Here is a 15,230-nt window from a genome sequence, read left to right as displayed (position 1 = left end):
AATGACCTCCTACTCAATCAGGAAATGGCCAACTTTGTCAAAGATATAACTTTGGCAAAATATCAACAAAACCTTAAAAATCTACCTGAAGGATGTCACAGAGAACAGGGAACAGAGTTGTTTCAACCAGGAGATCTAGTGTTGGTCAAATCTCTTCCCTCTACCTCCCCATCTATGGACTCTTTGTGGGAAGGACCATACTCTATAATCCTCTCTACTCCCATTGCAGTTAACATGGCAGGAGTGGAAACTTGGATTCACCACACCCGAGTTAAACTTTGGACATCTCCTGAGGAACCTGCTGGATCATCAGCTCAGGAGTCCCAAGATCAGCCAGACCAGCTTCGATACACCTGCGAACCGTTGGAGGACTTGCACCTCTTATTTCAGAAGGAAACATCCCAGACTAAAAAGGCTCCTACCACTGATCCTGAGGAAAGACCTCTTCCTCCTTAAAAAAGATAAGTGAAAACAGCACACTAACCATACTCTTTGTGATAGGACAATATACTCTAGCTCCTGCCAGAATGAAAATCCTAATCACATCAACCTCCTTTCTATCTTCCTTCCTTTTGACAGTAATTTACTCCTACCTCTAACTCAGACTAGATAAAATGATCTCATTTTCTGGAGCACCCTCTTTACCTTCCTATTTGCTCTTTGCCTGTGTATCCCTCCTGCTTCCTTGGAAACCTCATACAATCACCCCTCCCCTTTCACTAGCTCCTAATTACCTCTACAAGACTCTCAACTTAACTCACACTCTGTTAAACCAGTCCAATACTTCCCTGGCAAATGACTGTTGGCTGTGTATCTCTCTATCAACCTCTGCCTACGTTGCCACTCCCATTCCTGCAAAAAACTGGGTCTTTACCAACTTGACCTTCCACCCTCGTTACGAAGGAAAAGACCCTTTCCAACTTCTAAATATGCAATCATTGGCTGACTTCCCAATATCTGATGGGACCAAAAGTACCCTAACAGGACGTGCAACCCAAATTTTATGTTCTTACATTTCCAACCTCACCTATTACACAAGCAATGAAAAGCCTTGTAACCACGAACACTATCTTAACTTTCCAAGCCCCTTTATGCATCCAATGCAACCTGTTATCAGGCCTGCCTCTGCGGCACCTACCAACGCATCAGTGTAATTACACCTTACAACTTCAAGCTCCAAATGATCATAGTAACTTTTGAGTCACCCAAACAGCTCCATTCTGATGCCTTCTCTGCTTCTCAGTGCCCCCCAAAATCATCACCTCCTCCCTGGTGAACAAACAGTCCAGGTTTTGCAATGGCAAACATACTCCCTGCATGACCAATCACCCCTGGACTCCCTGCAACAGCGCCCCTACCACTAGTGAATGCCTTCTCATCCCCTCTTTCAATCACTCTATCAGATGGTTCCTAGTGGATACAAAACATTTTTTTCTCCGATGGGAAAATAGAACACAGGGAGCCACTCAGTTTTCTCCCAACACCCCTTTCCAGCTGCTCACTGGAGGTACCTTGGCAAGTACTCTAGGAGTATGGGAAAATGAAAACAACAAACTCACACACCTTTTTTAACATACATAACCAGTTCTGTCTACCCAGCCAAGGCATATTCTTCTTATGTGGAATGTCAACCTATATCTGCCTCCCCACTAACTGGACAGGCACATGCACCTTAGTCTTTCTAAGTCCTAACATTAACATTGTCCCAGGAAATCAGACCTTATCAGTACCCCTCAAAGCTCAAGTCCGTCAGCGCAGAGCCGTACAACTAATACCCCTACTTATAGTGTTAGGAATGGCTACTGCTACAGGAACCAGAATAGCTGGTCTATCAACTTCATTATCCTACTACCACACACTCTCAAACGATTTGTCAGATAGTTTGCAAGAAATAACAAAATCTTCTTACTTTACAATCCCAAATAGACTCTTTGGCAGCAGTGACTCTCCAAAACCGCCGAGGTCTAGACTGCCTCACTGCTGAGAAAGGAGGACTCTGCACCTTCTTAGGGGAAGAGTGTTGTTTTTACACTAACTAATCAGGGATAGTACGAGATGCTGCCCGGCGTTTACTGGAAAAGGCTTCTGAAATCAGACAACGCCTTTCAAATTCTTATACCAACCTCTGGAGTTGGGCAACATGGCTTCTCCCCTTTCTAGGTCCTGTGGCAGCCATCTTGCTGTTACTCGCCTTTGGGCCCTGTATTTTTAACCTTCTTGTCAAGTTTGTTTCCTCTAGAATTGAGGCCATCAAGCTACAGATGGTCTTACAAATGGAACCCCAAATGAGTTCAACTAACAACTTCTACCGAGGACCCCTGGACCGACTTGCTGGCACTTCCCCTGGCCTAGAGAGTTCCCCTCTGAAGGATACCACAACTTCAGGGCCCCTTCTTCACCCCTATGCAGCAGGAAGTAGCCAAAGCGGTCATTGGCCAAATTCCCAACAGCAGTTGGGGTGTCCTGTTTAGAGGGGGGATTGAGAGGTGACAGCATGCTGGCAGTCCTCAGAGCCCTCGCTGGCTCTCGTCACCTCCCCTGCCTGGGCTCCCACTTTGGTGGCATTTGAGGGGCCCTTCAGCCCCTCCACTGCACTGTGGGAGCCCTTTTCTGGGCTGGCCAAGGCTGGAGCCCACTCCTTCAGCTTGCAGGGAGGTGTGGAGGGAGAGGAGTGAGCAGGAACTGGGGCTGCGTGCAGCACTTGTGGGCCAGCTGGAGTTCCGGGTGGGCGTGGGCTTGGCGGGCCCCGCACTCGGAGCAGCCGGCCAGCGCTGCTGGCCCCGGGCAATGGGGGACTTAGCACTCGGGCCAGTGGCAGCAGAGGGTGTACTGAGTCCCCCAGCAGTGCTGGCCCACTGGCGCTGCACTCAATTTCTAGCTGGGCCTCAGCTGCCTTCCCATGCGGCAGGGCTCAGGACCTGCAGCCCACCATGTCTGAGCCTCCCACCCACTCCATGGGCTCCTGTGCGGCCCGAGCCTCCCCAAGGAGCACCACCCCATGCTCCACAGCGCCTAGTCCCATCGACCACCCAAGGGCTGAGGAATGTGAGCGCATGGTGCAGGACTGGCAGGGAGCTCCACCTGCAGCCTCGGTGTGGGATCCACTAGGTGAAGCCAGCTGGGTTCCTGAGTCTGGTGGGGACGTGGAGAATCTTTATATGTAGCTCAGGGATTGTAAATACATCAGTCAGCACCCTGTGTTTAGCTCAAGGTTTGTGAGTGCACCAATCGACACTGTATCTAGCTGCTCTTGTGAGGACGTGGAGAGTCTTTATATCTAGCTCAGGGATTGTAAATACACCAATCAGCACCCTGTGTTTAGCTCAAGGTTTGTGAGTGCACCAGTCGACACTCTGTATCTAGCTGCTCTGGTGAGGACGTGGAGAACCTTTATGTCTAGCTCAGGGATTGTAAATACACCAATCGGCACTCTGTATCTAGCTCGAGGATTGTAAATACACCAATCAGCACCCTGTGTTTAGCTCAAGGTTTGTGAATGAACCAATCGACACTCTGTATCTAGCTGCTCTGGTGGGGCCTTGGAGAACCTGTGTGTCGAAACTCTGTATCTAACTAATCTGATGGGGACATGGAGAACCTTTGTATCTAGCTCAGGCACTGTAAATGCACCAATCAGCGCCCTGACAAAACAGGCCACTCGGCTCTACAATTAGCAGGATGTGGGTGGGGCCAGATAAGAGAATAAAAGCAGGCTGCCTGAGCCAGCATTGGCAACCCACTCGGGTCCCCTTCCACACTGTGGAAGCTTTGCTCTTTTGCTCTTTGCAATAAATCTTGCTACTGCTCACTCTTTGGGTCCACGCTGCTTTTATGAGCTGTAACACTCACTGTGAAGATCTGCAGCTTCACTCCTGAGCCCAGCAAGACCACGAGCCCACCAGGAGTAATGAACAACTCCAGATGCACTATCTTAAGAGCTGTAACACTCACCGCGAAGGTCTGCAGCTTCACTCCTGAGCCAGCGAGACCACGAACCCACCAGAAGGAAGAAACTCTGAACACATCTGAACATCAGAAGGGACAGACTCCAGACGCGCCACCTTAAGAGCTATAACACTCACCGCGAGGGTCCGCAGCTTCATTCTTGAAGTCAGTGAGACCAAGAACCCACCAATTCCAGACACATTATTACACATTCTATGGTATGTGTTTGAGAAAGTACAAGAGTATATGAATATACACACCTGTATTCACATACCTTACATAAAGATCCCCTACATAAAGATATGCATATGTATGTGACATGGTTTGGCTGTGTCTCCACACAAATCTCATCTAGAATTGTAGCTCTCATAATTCCCACATGTAAGGGGAGGGACCCAGTGGGAGATAATTGAAACATGGGGGCAGTTTCCACCCATGACTTATTCATTGTCATGTTCTCATGTGAACTATGAGGTCACAAGATCTGATGGTTTTTTAAAGAGGAGTTCCCCTGCACAAGCTCTCTCTTTTTGCCTGTTGCCATGTAAGATGTGCCTTTGTTCTTCCCTTGCCTTTTGCCAGGACTGTGAGGCCTCCCAACCACAAAGAACTATGAGTTTATTAAACCTCTTTTACTTTATAAATTACCCAGTCTCAGTTATGTCTTTATCAGCAGCATGAAAATGAACTAATACAGTATGTACATATAAATATATACAAATTTAGAACAATAAATATCCTCCAAAGAAATCCTAGCTAATTATAATTATTCACTGAGGTACCACTGAATGCTTCCATGGTGAAACCCACTTTGATAAAATGTAAAGATACACCAATCAAATTCCCATCCTCAAGTAGTAAACACTGCAGCTGATGAGACAAAGCTTGCCTTTCAATTGCTACAATTGAGCCATGCTCTCTTTCATTGCCCCCCACCTGCTCCTTCTGTGAAATGTTGGGCTTGTGCAGAAGGGAATTTGCAATAGAGTGTCTAGAAGACAATTCTACAATTTTAGACACGTAGAGAGAGGTAGACCAGGGGACTTCTGTAAAGACGGCAGAGAGGGGTTAAGCATTGGTATTCAATAATATGAATATGAGACCACCAAGATTTACAGAGCATGAGAAAAATGATACCAAAAGGAACATCCACATTGTCACCATTACTTACTTCCTCAGTGCTTACATTCATTGTTAGACTATGATGAGTATCTAACGGCAAAGCCCAGAGATGACTAACACTTGACCTTGGAAGAGAGAAAGTCTTCAGCAAACCCTATTAAATTAAAAGGGAGAAAAGAGACAAAGAAATTAGAGGAAACCAAGACACAGAAGGTAGAAAACTTGCAAGGTTAGGTGTGAGGGCATTCTTAGATCATCTCCTGTGGGCATGGTACTACATTAGATTCTTCTACCACCTGCTTCACTCAGGTTTCCACCATAAAATTCTCATAGCCTTCATGATGTAGTCCCTGTGGTTTTTGTCTGCAGGGATTTCATGCTGAATAGAGAGACTTGTCATTCATTGATGTAGCAGTAAAGTTCTAGAGTCTTAGTTTCAGCCAACGTCAAATAAGCCTATTTTTAAAAAGGTTATCAAAACTAGTTCTGCGAATATATTTACCTGCAATTTAGCAAACAAAATAAACAATTATAGATATCCTGTCACTTTTAACCCCATTTCCTATAAAAGGGTTTCTCACTGCTGTATCTGATGGACAGAGATAATCTTGATCACATAAACGAAATATTTAACCCAGAGTGGAAACCGAGTTCTTCTACAAAGGAAAACTGCTAGTTTGAGTAAGAACAACAATAACAAATAACTCCATTTCAAAATAACACAGTTTGACCTGGAGTAGTACTTCTGACCTGGCACGACCCTTGGCTGGTGGTGGGACTGCAGATGGTTGATCATGTGGACAGATGGAGGATAATGTGGACAAGAACAAGTGTGTACTGCCAAGTGCAAAACAGGAACCAGAACCCTCCTGAGTAACACTGATGGGTATGTTTCTATGTCTCTTTCTTTGTTTTTGTTTCTTTGTTTCTTTTTTTAAGACAGAGATTTCCTCTGTTGCTAGGCTGGAATGCAGTGGTGTGATCTCGGTTCACTGCAACTACTAACTCCCTGGTTCAAGCGATTCTCCTGCCTCAGCCTTCTGTGTAGCTGTGATTACAGGCATGCAACACCACTCCCAGCTAATTTTTGTGTTTTTAGTAGAGCCGGGGCTTCACCATGTTGGCCAGGATGGTCTCAATCACCTGACCTCATGATCTGCCCGCCTCAGCCTCCGAAAGCGCTGGGATTACAGGTGTGAGCCAATGCACCCGGCCTCTACGTTTCGTTCATAAGGAGCTTCATAACTGCTTCTCATAGCTCCCCTAATGAACTGTACAATATCCAAAAAGCTGAGTTTCTTCAGAACGTTTTCCAGTCCACCACCTGTGACCCCAGCTCCATTTTTCACAACCCTGGCTAGAGTTTCCAATTTCTATATCACAGATCCTATTTGCTAAAGTTACTCTATTTTAGGCAGACAGCTGTATGTAAGAAGTGCCTACTTCAGTGTGACGCTCTCTCTGACAGCCTACACTCTTTCTTCATGTGCTTCTTACAGTGCAGAATGACAAGATGAGGGCCTTGCAAGGTGTACAGCTCTAGGTTACTAAACACCACCTTTCCCACACAGTTTATTTCCGGAGTATGACACTGTACAAGCTCCGAGAAAAGGCAAACTTCATCTTCAGGCTTGAACATTATCATTTCCACCCACTGCCCAAAATGTTTTCACTGCCATCCCCAGACAGGAATATTAATTTGTGAAAATAGGCTCTACCCCACTGAGTCAGTTACTCCAGAGGGGCTTCTTATCCTAGGGTCAGAACTTAACTGAGATCAGACCTTCCATCCCTGGGTAACAACCAAGGCTTCCACAATCTGGCATATAGACAAGATGTTACCCATAAAAACCTCTGTATCTCATATTAGAATAGGAAGGAAGAAAAGAGGCATAAAAAAAAGCTTCTTTTAAACAGAGTTCAGGAAAGACAAGTGCAAAGTCAAGAGACAGAATCAGGATAGACCAAATAATATACTTCAGGGATCAAAGGCAACTATCTCTTTCTAAAACTCCCTCCAAAGTCTTACGAACATTCAAACAAGGCAAAGTTCATTAAAATGAAGTATGTTTTGTGTCAAAAATTGCAGTAAATAGCAGTCAATAATAATTGATATTGAGACTTCCAAGCTTGTAAAATGCAAATAACATGAAGATTTTAATCTGCCACACTCTTCACTTTCTTTTTGACATAAAAAAATTACCTCAGTATAGAATGTTTTCAACTAGTGAGTTTCACGTTCCCCACCTCTGGCAAAATTCCTCACATCACATGCAGGTTTTTTTTGGTTTTGTTTTGTTTTTTTAAAGAAACGGGTATAATAAATCAAAACTCTTCCCTCTACACAATCCTCAATGCAGACGTTCTCCACCCTAACATCAAAAATCCCAATCCCATCCAAGTTTCCTCTTTATTTATTTTTGTGGGTACACAGCATGTATATATATTTATGAGGTACATGAGATATTTTGATACAGGTATGCAATCACATCATGGAGAATGGGGTATCATACCCTCAAGCATTTACCTTTTGCCACCTAGGTGTCTTTAGATACATTCTATGGGTTCTACTAACTGCAATGGGAAAAAGGAATTACATGTTTAGTTTCATTACCGTGCACTGAAATTTAGTATTTTCTTCCATTATCAATGTTGGTAGGACAAATACCCCAAAATATTGTTTAAACTCAATTGTACTAAGAAATTGTGACTAGTATGAACCTCATAAGTAGATCCAGCTACTTAATATACAATAAAGATACACATGTATTACTACAGCCCAGTTTAAATATATCTTTTATTTTTTTTTATTTTATTGTTTGTAGAAATAGTCTCCCTTTGTTGTCCAGGCTGGCAACTTGAACTCCTGGCCTCAAGAGATCTTCTCACCTCAGCATCCCCAAATGCTGGGATTTACAAGAATGAGTCAATGCACCTGGCCTTAAATATTAATATTAATATATGTGCTAACTATTTCAATAAAACTGACTTCCTCTTATGAGTATTTACCTTATTAGAAGACTTAAACATATCATTTTTACAAAACGTACCAATTTTCCACCAAACTGCCAGAGGCATCCGTCACACACACTCACCCATGCAACGTGCAACACTGAGAATCCTTGGCTAACTGCCAGTCTGTGGTCATCACCTGCATGTCTACCTATCATGACCTAATGGGGACAGCAATGGTTGTAGGACAGCATTCTGCTTGTGGATAAGGAGGATATGCATAGAAGGATGAAATGCCGCCTCCTCAGCTATCTCATACGAGTCTTATCTGGCTGTTCTTTTCTTCCCTTGGAAGACCTGCCCTGAGCATAAGTACTTAAGAATAAATGGGCCAGGCACCAAGGCTCATCCCTGCAATACCAGCACTTTTGGAGGCCAATGCGGGAGTGGAGCCTAGGAGTTCCAGACCAGCCTGGGCAACATGGCAATACCTTGTTTCTAAAAAGATTTTAAAAATTACCTGGACAGAGTGGTACCTGCCTGCTGTCCTAGCTACTCAGGAGGCTGAGGTGGGAGAATGGCTTGAGCTCGAGACAGGGAAGTTGCAGTGAGCCCTGATCGTGCCACTGTACTTCAGCCTGGGTGAAAGAATGAAACTATGTTTCAAAAAATAAATAAATGAATGAATGTCACATATCTCCAACAAGAGGTCTTGCATAGCTGTTGCCATACCCTCCCAGGTGAGACAAGTCTTCCTGTCTTCCTGGCCATCTCTCTCTGGTGACCTTTGGTGGAACATGAGACCACCTCAGCTGAGCTTCCCCAGAGGCCACATCTGCGCTCACAAGTAATGAATAAAAAACTCTAGTGCTTCTCTCACTTAGAATATTAAGCATCTATGCCACTTGCTTAGTTTGTGGGGAATCTTCCCCAAGACCAGAAAGCCTCTAACCTAGAGAGCAGTCCCAGCAACTGAACGCATGGTCCTTCTCTGTCTGAAACAAAGCTACTTAAATATTAAGACTAAGATGTGAAACTAAAGGAAGGTCAAAGACAAACATGTCCTTCCATTCACAAACACAGAGAAAACCACAGTTCAAGTAAGTTTTCATCTAAAATCCCACAAATTAATGGAGGAGGCAACCTAGCTGAGGAAATAAAGCTTCATTAATAGACCACTGCATGTTGTGTATCAGGAACAAATATGTACTCTTTAAGGACCATGATGAAGAATTCCAGAAATGAACAGAATCAAAAAAGGCATTTCAAAACCTGCTTTTTCTCTGGTCCCATCTTATCAATCCCCTTATGTCTCAAGTCCAGGAAAAAATAAGAAGAAAGGCTCAAGGTTATAGAAGCTCCAAAATTATTTCACAAGTGGCCAAATCTTCCCCCTTCCTGAAACCCAAGAAGAGGGGAACTATCACTTGCCTCTCTTTTGAATTATAATCTGAACCATGGCCCTTTGAAATCTCAGACCTCCCCACTGTTTTTCTTAAATACATCCATGGGAAGATTTCCTTTTACCTACCACTTCTTTCTGTATAGATAGGATTTTTGAAGGGGGATCTTTCTTTCACTACGGTAATCAGATGTCACACATTTTCTACAATAAGTGGGTTTCTTGGCTATTTCCAGACCTCTTATTAAAATCTATTCTTTCACTCTTCCTAACCCAATTAAACCCAATTCAATCTCTGCCATAATTGTTCCATTTCCCCTATGTTTATCCCTTAACAAGCCTGGTTCCTGCATGTTCTTTTCAATTAGCCCACCCCAGACTTAGAGGGCGTGACTGTCCACATCTATAACATCTTCAGGCTAAATTAACATCTGGCAAAAATTCCCTCCATGGAAATCTATCACCAAGGTGAGTGCTATCTTAAGACTAAGTTCTGCCCACAACTTCAAATACTAAAGCGTCATAGACTGATTCAGTCAAAAAGGTTTTTAAACAAACAACATAAAATAATTTGCTTATATTATGTTTATACCATTTGAATTAGTTGGACCATTACAAAAACATACTGAATTTGTGGGAGAACACATACTAATTCTCCAACAACTGGTTTCAATATGTATTAACCACATAAGTATTGCTCATTGCATCCTGGAACTCCTAGGCCCTAGAAATCCTCCTGCTGGTCTCAACCCCTCAAGAAGCTGGGACTACAGGCATGTGCCATCATGTCTAATTAATTTTTTATGTTTTGAAGAGATGGATCTCCCTATGTTGCAGGCTGGTCTAGAACTCTGGCCTAAAGCAATCCTCCTGCCTCAGCCCCTCAAAGTACTGGGATTACATGCATGAGCTATTGTACCTGTCCTTTTTATTTTTTTGAGACAAGGTCTTTCTCTGTCACCCAGACTGGAGTGCAGTGGCAGGATCACAGCTCACTGCAGCCTCAATCTTTCAGGCTCAAGCAACACTCCTTCCTCAGTCTCTCAAGCAGATGAATAGCTTTTAGTAATATGCTAAAGAACGTTAAAAAATTATTAGCTTTAAGGACATTCTAAGAGTAAATTTATAAACCCAAAACCCATAACAGATAAAGGAAAATCGGAAGAGCCAGTACGAAGACTGTCCTCTCTCAGAGGGTCCATTCTTGTGGAAATAGGCTGCTAATCCAGGTCAGAGGGAGGGTCCCCCAAGGCAAGACAGATCAAAGGCATCCCCAAGACAGAAGGCAGCCAGTGAGTAAGTCCTGCTGAAATCAGAAATTTGAGCAATAGACCCAAAGATAAGACAATGTCATCTCCCAGCTGTAAATATCAGCACTGTATGGATTTGAGTTATCATCTAGGATAAAAGTGGCTCCTCAAAAGCCAATGCTTTGTAAGCCACTAGGTTCTCATTTAATAACACAAAGAACTATACCCTGAGAGATGGTCAACAAATAATCTGATATTTACCAGGCAGGAGGTACACTGAAGAAATGTAGAACACACTAGCTGCAAAAGATAAAGTATTCACTTCCTAAGTGCCAATGCTCATTAGTAGGAAAGTCAATTCTCTTCACTTCTGAAGCTTGGGAAAGGCCAGATCATAATGAAAGAAAATGGCCACTGCACAAGCATCTCTGACCACAGAATGAACTTCTAGAGCTGATAATCATGTCACTGGCCCTCGAGTTAAAGGACATCACAGAATTAGATAGCGGAATGCACAGACCGCCTTCAAGAAGCCACTTAGGATGACTGCCTGGGAAATGCAAACTGAGAAAATTATATTTAATTTAACCTCATGTGCAGTCAGAGAAACAGGAGGAATTGGAACAATTAAGCTGGAATGGTGCCATGGGCCATACACAATGGGCTTCCCATAGGATCACCTCCCACTGACCTGGAATAGCAGCCTATTTCCATGAGAAGGGACCCTTTGAGAGAGGACAGTCTTTGTACTGCCTCTTCAATTTTCTTTTACCTTTTAGGGGTTTTAGGTTTATAACCTTACTCTTAGAATGTCCTTAAAGCTAATAATTTCTTAATGTTGTTTAGCACTCCACAAAGGAGAACATTCTGTGACTTCAGTTAAGAGAGAGAGAAAAAAAAAAGGAAGCTTGGGAGAAGCATTAGGTCATTTTTAAGCAATTAAAACTTTTTATAAAGAACATATCAGATAATAAAAAAGAAATGACTAAGTGAAGTTTGCTCAATCTAAATCATCATATTATTAGTAGTTTATTACTGAAACCACTTTATCTTGTTGAAGAGTACACTGCGTAATTTTTGTTTGTTTGTTTGAGACAGGGTCTCACTCTGTTGTACAGGCTAGAGTGTGGTGGTGTGATCTCAGCTGACTGCAGCCATGACCTCCAAGGCTCAAGTGATCCTCCTACCTTAGCCTCCTGAATAGCTGAGAACATAGGCATGAACTATTACACTTGGCTAATTTTTTTCTTTTTCTTTTTTTTTTTTTTTTTTTTTTTTTTTCCATACAGATGGGGTTTCACTATGTTGCCCAGGCTTGTCTGGAGCTCTTGGATACAAATGATCCTGCCACCTCCACCCAGTACAATGTTCTGGGATTGCAGGTATGACCCATTGTGCCCAGATACAGATTTTTAAATGAAAGTAAGAATCTGAGCAAACCTAGATCCATGCTTCCTAAACTCTGCTGTATCTCACAATCCCTAAGAAGAACTGAAAAAAATCTCACTGCCCGGTCTGCATTGCAGACCAAGCAAGTCAGTATCTCTGGAGGACCATAGCACAGGCATTAATACTTATTACATTCTCCAGCTGATTCCAATGGGAAGGTACATTTGAGAAATAATGCTTTTAACTATCATATTCACATTCACATACCATTCAATCTTGGCCTTATCATTTTTCTTTTGGAAAAAAAATTTGTTTCTCCAACTGTTGGAAACCATTTCCATACCATGCCTTTCTTTGGAAACAAAGAATAGTAGAAATACCATTTGACCAAGTAATCCCATTACTGAGTATATAGCCAAAAGATTATAAATCATTCTACCATAATATGTAAGTAGTATAAAACTACTTGTTTCTTTGGAAACAAAGAAAGGCATGCGTGAGGTGTTTTTTTTTTTTTTTTTTTTTTTTTTTTGGTTTTTTTTCTTTGTTTTTTTGTTTTTTGTTTTTTGTTTTTTTTTGTGATGGAGTCTCCCTCTGTCACCCAGGCTGGAGGGCAGTGGCGCGATCTCTGCTTACTGTAAGCTCCACCTCCCAGGTTCACGCCATTCTCCTGCCTCAGCCTCCTGAGTAGCAGGGACTACAGACTCCTGCCACCATGCCCAGCTAATTTTTTGTATTTTTAGTAGAGATGGGTTTCACCGTGTTAGCCAGGATGGTCCCGCATGCATGAATTTTTAAAAGTCGAACTACTACAGGTGTTATTTGCACAACAGCACTTTCTTGCACAGCATACGACATCCCAGGACCACACTTGCTAGAAGGCAAATGCTTTCAGATTTCTTAGCTTCTCTCCTTCAAATATCTTCTTGATATTACTAAGAAATAGTTCATGCTATTTTTTCTTGATATATTGTTTTTAGATATTACCTATTAATTACCTATGGGCAACCCCCACTCTATTTGCCCCGTGTTTGTTTGTTTGTTTGTTGTTGTTTTTAGAGACAGGGTCTTGCTCTGTTGCCCAGGCTGCAGTGCAATGGTACAATCACAACTCACTGCAACCCCGACTTCCCAGGTTCAAAACATCCTCCCACCTCAGACTCTGCCATAACTAGGACTACAGGCAAGTGCCACCATACTGGCTAATTTTTTCATTTTTTTTTCTGTAGAGATGGGGTTTTGCCATATTGCCCGGGCTGGTCTCCAAGTCTTGGGCTAAAGAGATCTGCCTGTCTTGGCCGCCCAAAGTGCTGGGACTACAGGTATGATCCACTGTACCCAGCCTTCTCTCTTCAACTTTACTGTAACTGTGCAATTACTCCTGAACTAATCACTCCTGAACTAAGCCTTCTACCCCAATTAAATCTCCTTCATTGAATCACCTCCTGTTTTATCTGGAGACAATAACTGCTTCAGGTTTTCATTTCATGCTTGTCTGTGTGTATATTGTTCAATTTTTCTGGACTAAAGCCCATCTCGAGTACTATTTCTACCTGGTCAAATGGCTTACTTCCTTTTCTTTTATGTTCATTCTCCTCAAAGTTTAACTCTAGGATGTCAGATGTCCCAGCCTGCTCCAGGCAATAATCTGATGTCTTAATTACTTCAGCTGTCTTCTGTGAAGGCCACTGTTTCTTAGATTCTCCATCTTTGTATTCATCATTTATTCCACTGTTTGAAGGAACACACGATCACACATCTTTCCAAGAAGGGAAGCATGAAAGGTAAATTTTTTGAAATGATACATCAGCGTAAATGCTTTGACTCTGCCTGCCCACAAAGAGCTGCTCCAAGATAAGAGTTCTATGTGGTAAAATTATTTTTTCTTAGAATAATGAAAGTTTCTATATTTTTAACATTTGGTGAAAACATGAAGCATTCTATGAAATTACAAATTCTTGAGACGGTTTGCATCTGTATCCTCACCCAAATCTCATATTGAATTCTAATCCCCAGTGTTGGAGATGGTGCCTGGCGGGAGGTGATGGCATCATGGAGGGCAGAGTTCTCTAGAATGATACTGTATATCCCCCTTGGTACTGTATAGTAAGTGAATTCTCAGGAGATCTGGTTGTATAAAATTTTGTAGCATGTTCTGTCTCTCTCCTCTTCTTGCTCTAGCCACATAAGATGAACCTGCTTTGCTTTCACTTTCTGCCATGATTGAAACATTCCTGAGGCCACCACAGACGCTATCATGCTTCCTGTGCAGTTTAAAAAACCATGAGCCAATTAAACCTCTTTTCTTTATAAATTATCCAATCTCGGGTATTTGTGTCAGTACAAGAATGGACTAATACAGCCTTCAAGCTCTTATGGTCTTTCCCACATATTTGCTCTTCTGAAATCTCACAATGTGCTTTTGGAGTTTGGAGTTTCAATTCTTTCACTGTGATGAACCCTGATGTTGTTTCCTAAGCCTGGAAGTGTAGATCCCTCAATGCTGGGATGATGATGATGATGATGATGATGGCAATTATTATTATTATCATTTTAAGTTCTGGGGTACATGGGCAGAATGTGCAGGATTGTTACATATGTATACATATGGTATGGTGGCTTGCTGCACCCATCAACGCGTCATCAACACTAGGTATTTCTCCTAATACTATCTCTCCCCCTACTCCCCACCACATGACAGGCCCTGGTGTGTGATGTTCCCCTCCCTGTGTCCATGTGTTCTCATTGTTCAACTCCTACTCATGAGTAAGAACATGTGGTGTTTGGTTTTCTGTTCTTGTATTAGTTTGCTGAGAATGATGGTTTCCAGCTTCATCTATGTCCCTGCAAAGGACACGAACTCATCCTTTTTCATGGCTGCATATATTTCATGGTGTATTAGATAAATGCAAATCAAAACCACAATGAGATACAATCTCATGCCAGTTAGAATGGCGATCATTAAAATGTCAGGAAACAACAGATGCTAGAGAGGATGTGGAGAAATGGGAATGCTTTTACACTGCTGGTGGGAGTATAAATTAGTTCAACTGTTGTGGAACACAACGTGGTGATTCCTCAAGGACCTAGAATGAGACATACCATTTGATCCAGCAATCCCATTACTGGGTATATACAAAAAGGATTATAAATCATTCAACTATGAAGAC

At 42.5% G+C, this 15,230-nt stretch overlaps 1 protein-coding gene across 23 annotated transcripts in view; it reads right to left on the bottom strand.

Annotated features, from left to right (window-relative positions):
• The window catches only part of NLGN4Y (neuroligin 4 Y-linked), a 323,039-nt gene that overhangs the window by 252,825 nt on the left and 54,984 nt on the right, over window positions 1–15,230 (bottom strand). For 2 of the 23 annotated variants that reach the window (XM_011531427.3, XM_017030036.2), the window contains exon 1: window positions 8,540–10,242. The exons of 19 other annotated variants lie outside the window; for them this stretch is intronic. The gene's annotated coding sequence lies outside the window, so the exon portion shown is untranslated. Of the gene's footprint in view, window positions 1–5,116; window positions 5,222–8,539; window positions 10,243–15,230 lie in introns of those variants that run through there. 2 more of the 23 variants (NM_001365590.1, XM_011531429.3) reach the window with 2 other exon arrangements.

The sequence above is a fragment of the Homo sapiens genome, chromosome Y (genome assembly GCF_000001405.40).
Source record: "Homo sapiens chromosome Y, GRCh38.p14 Primary Assembly".
Classification (NCBI taxonomy): Eukaryota; Metazoa; Chordata; class Mammalia; order Primates; family Hominidae; genus Homo; species Homo sapiens.
This window is presented reverse-complemented; position numbering and strand designations above follow the sequence as displayed.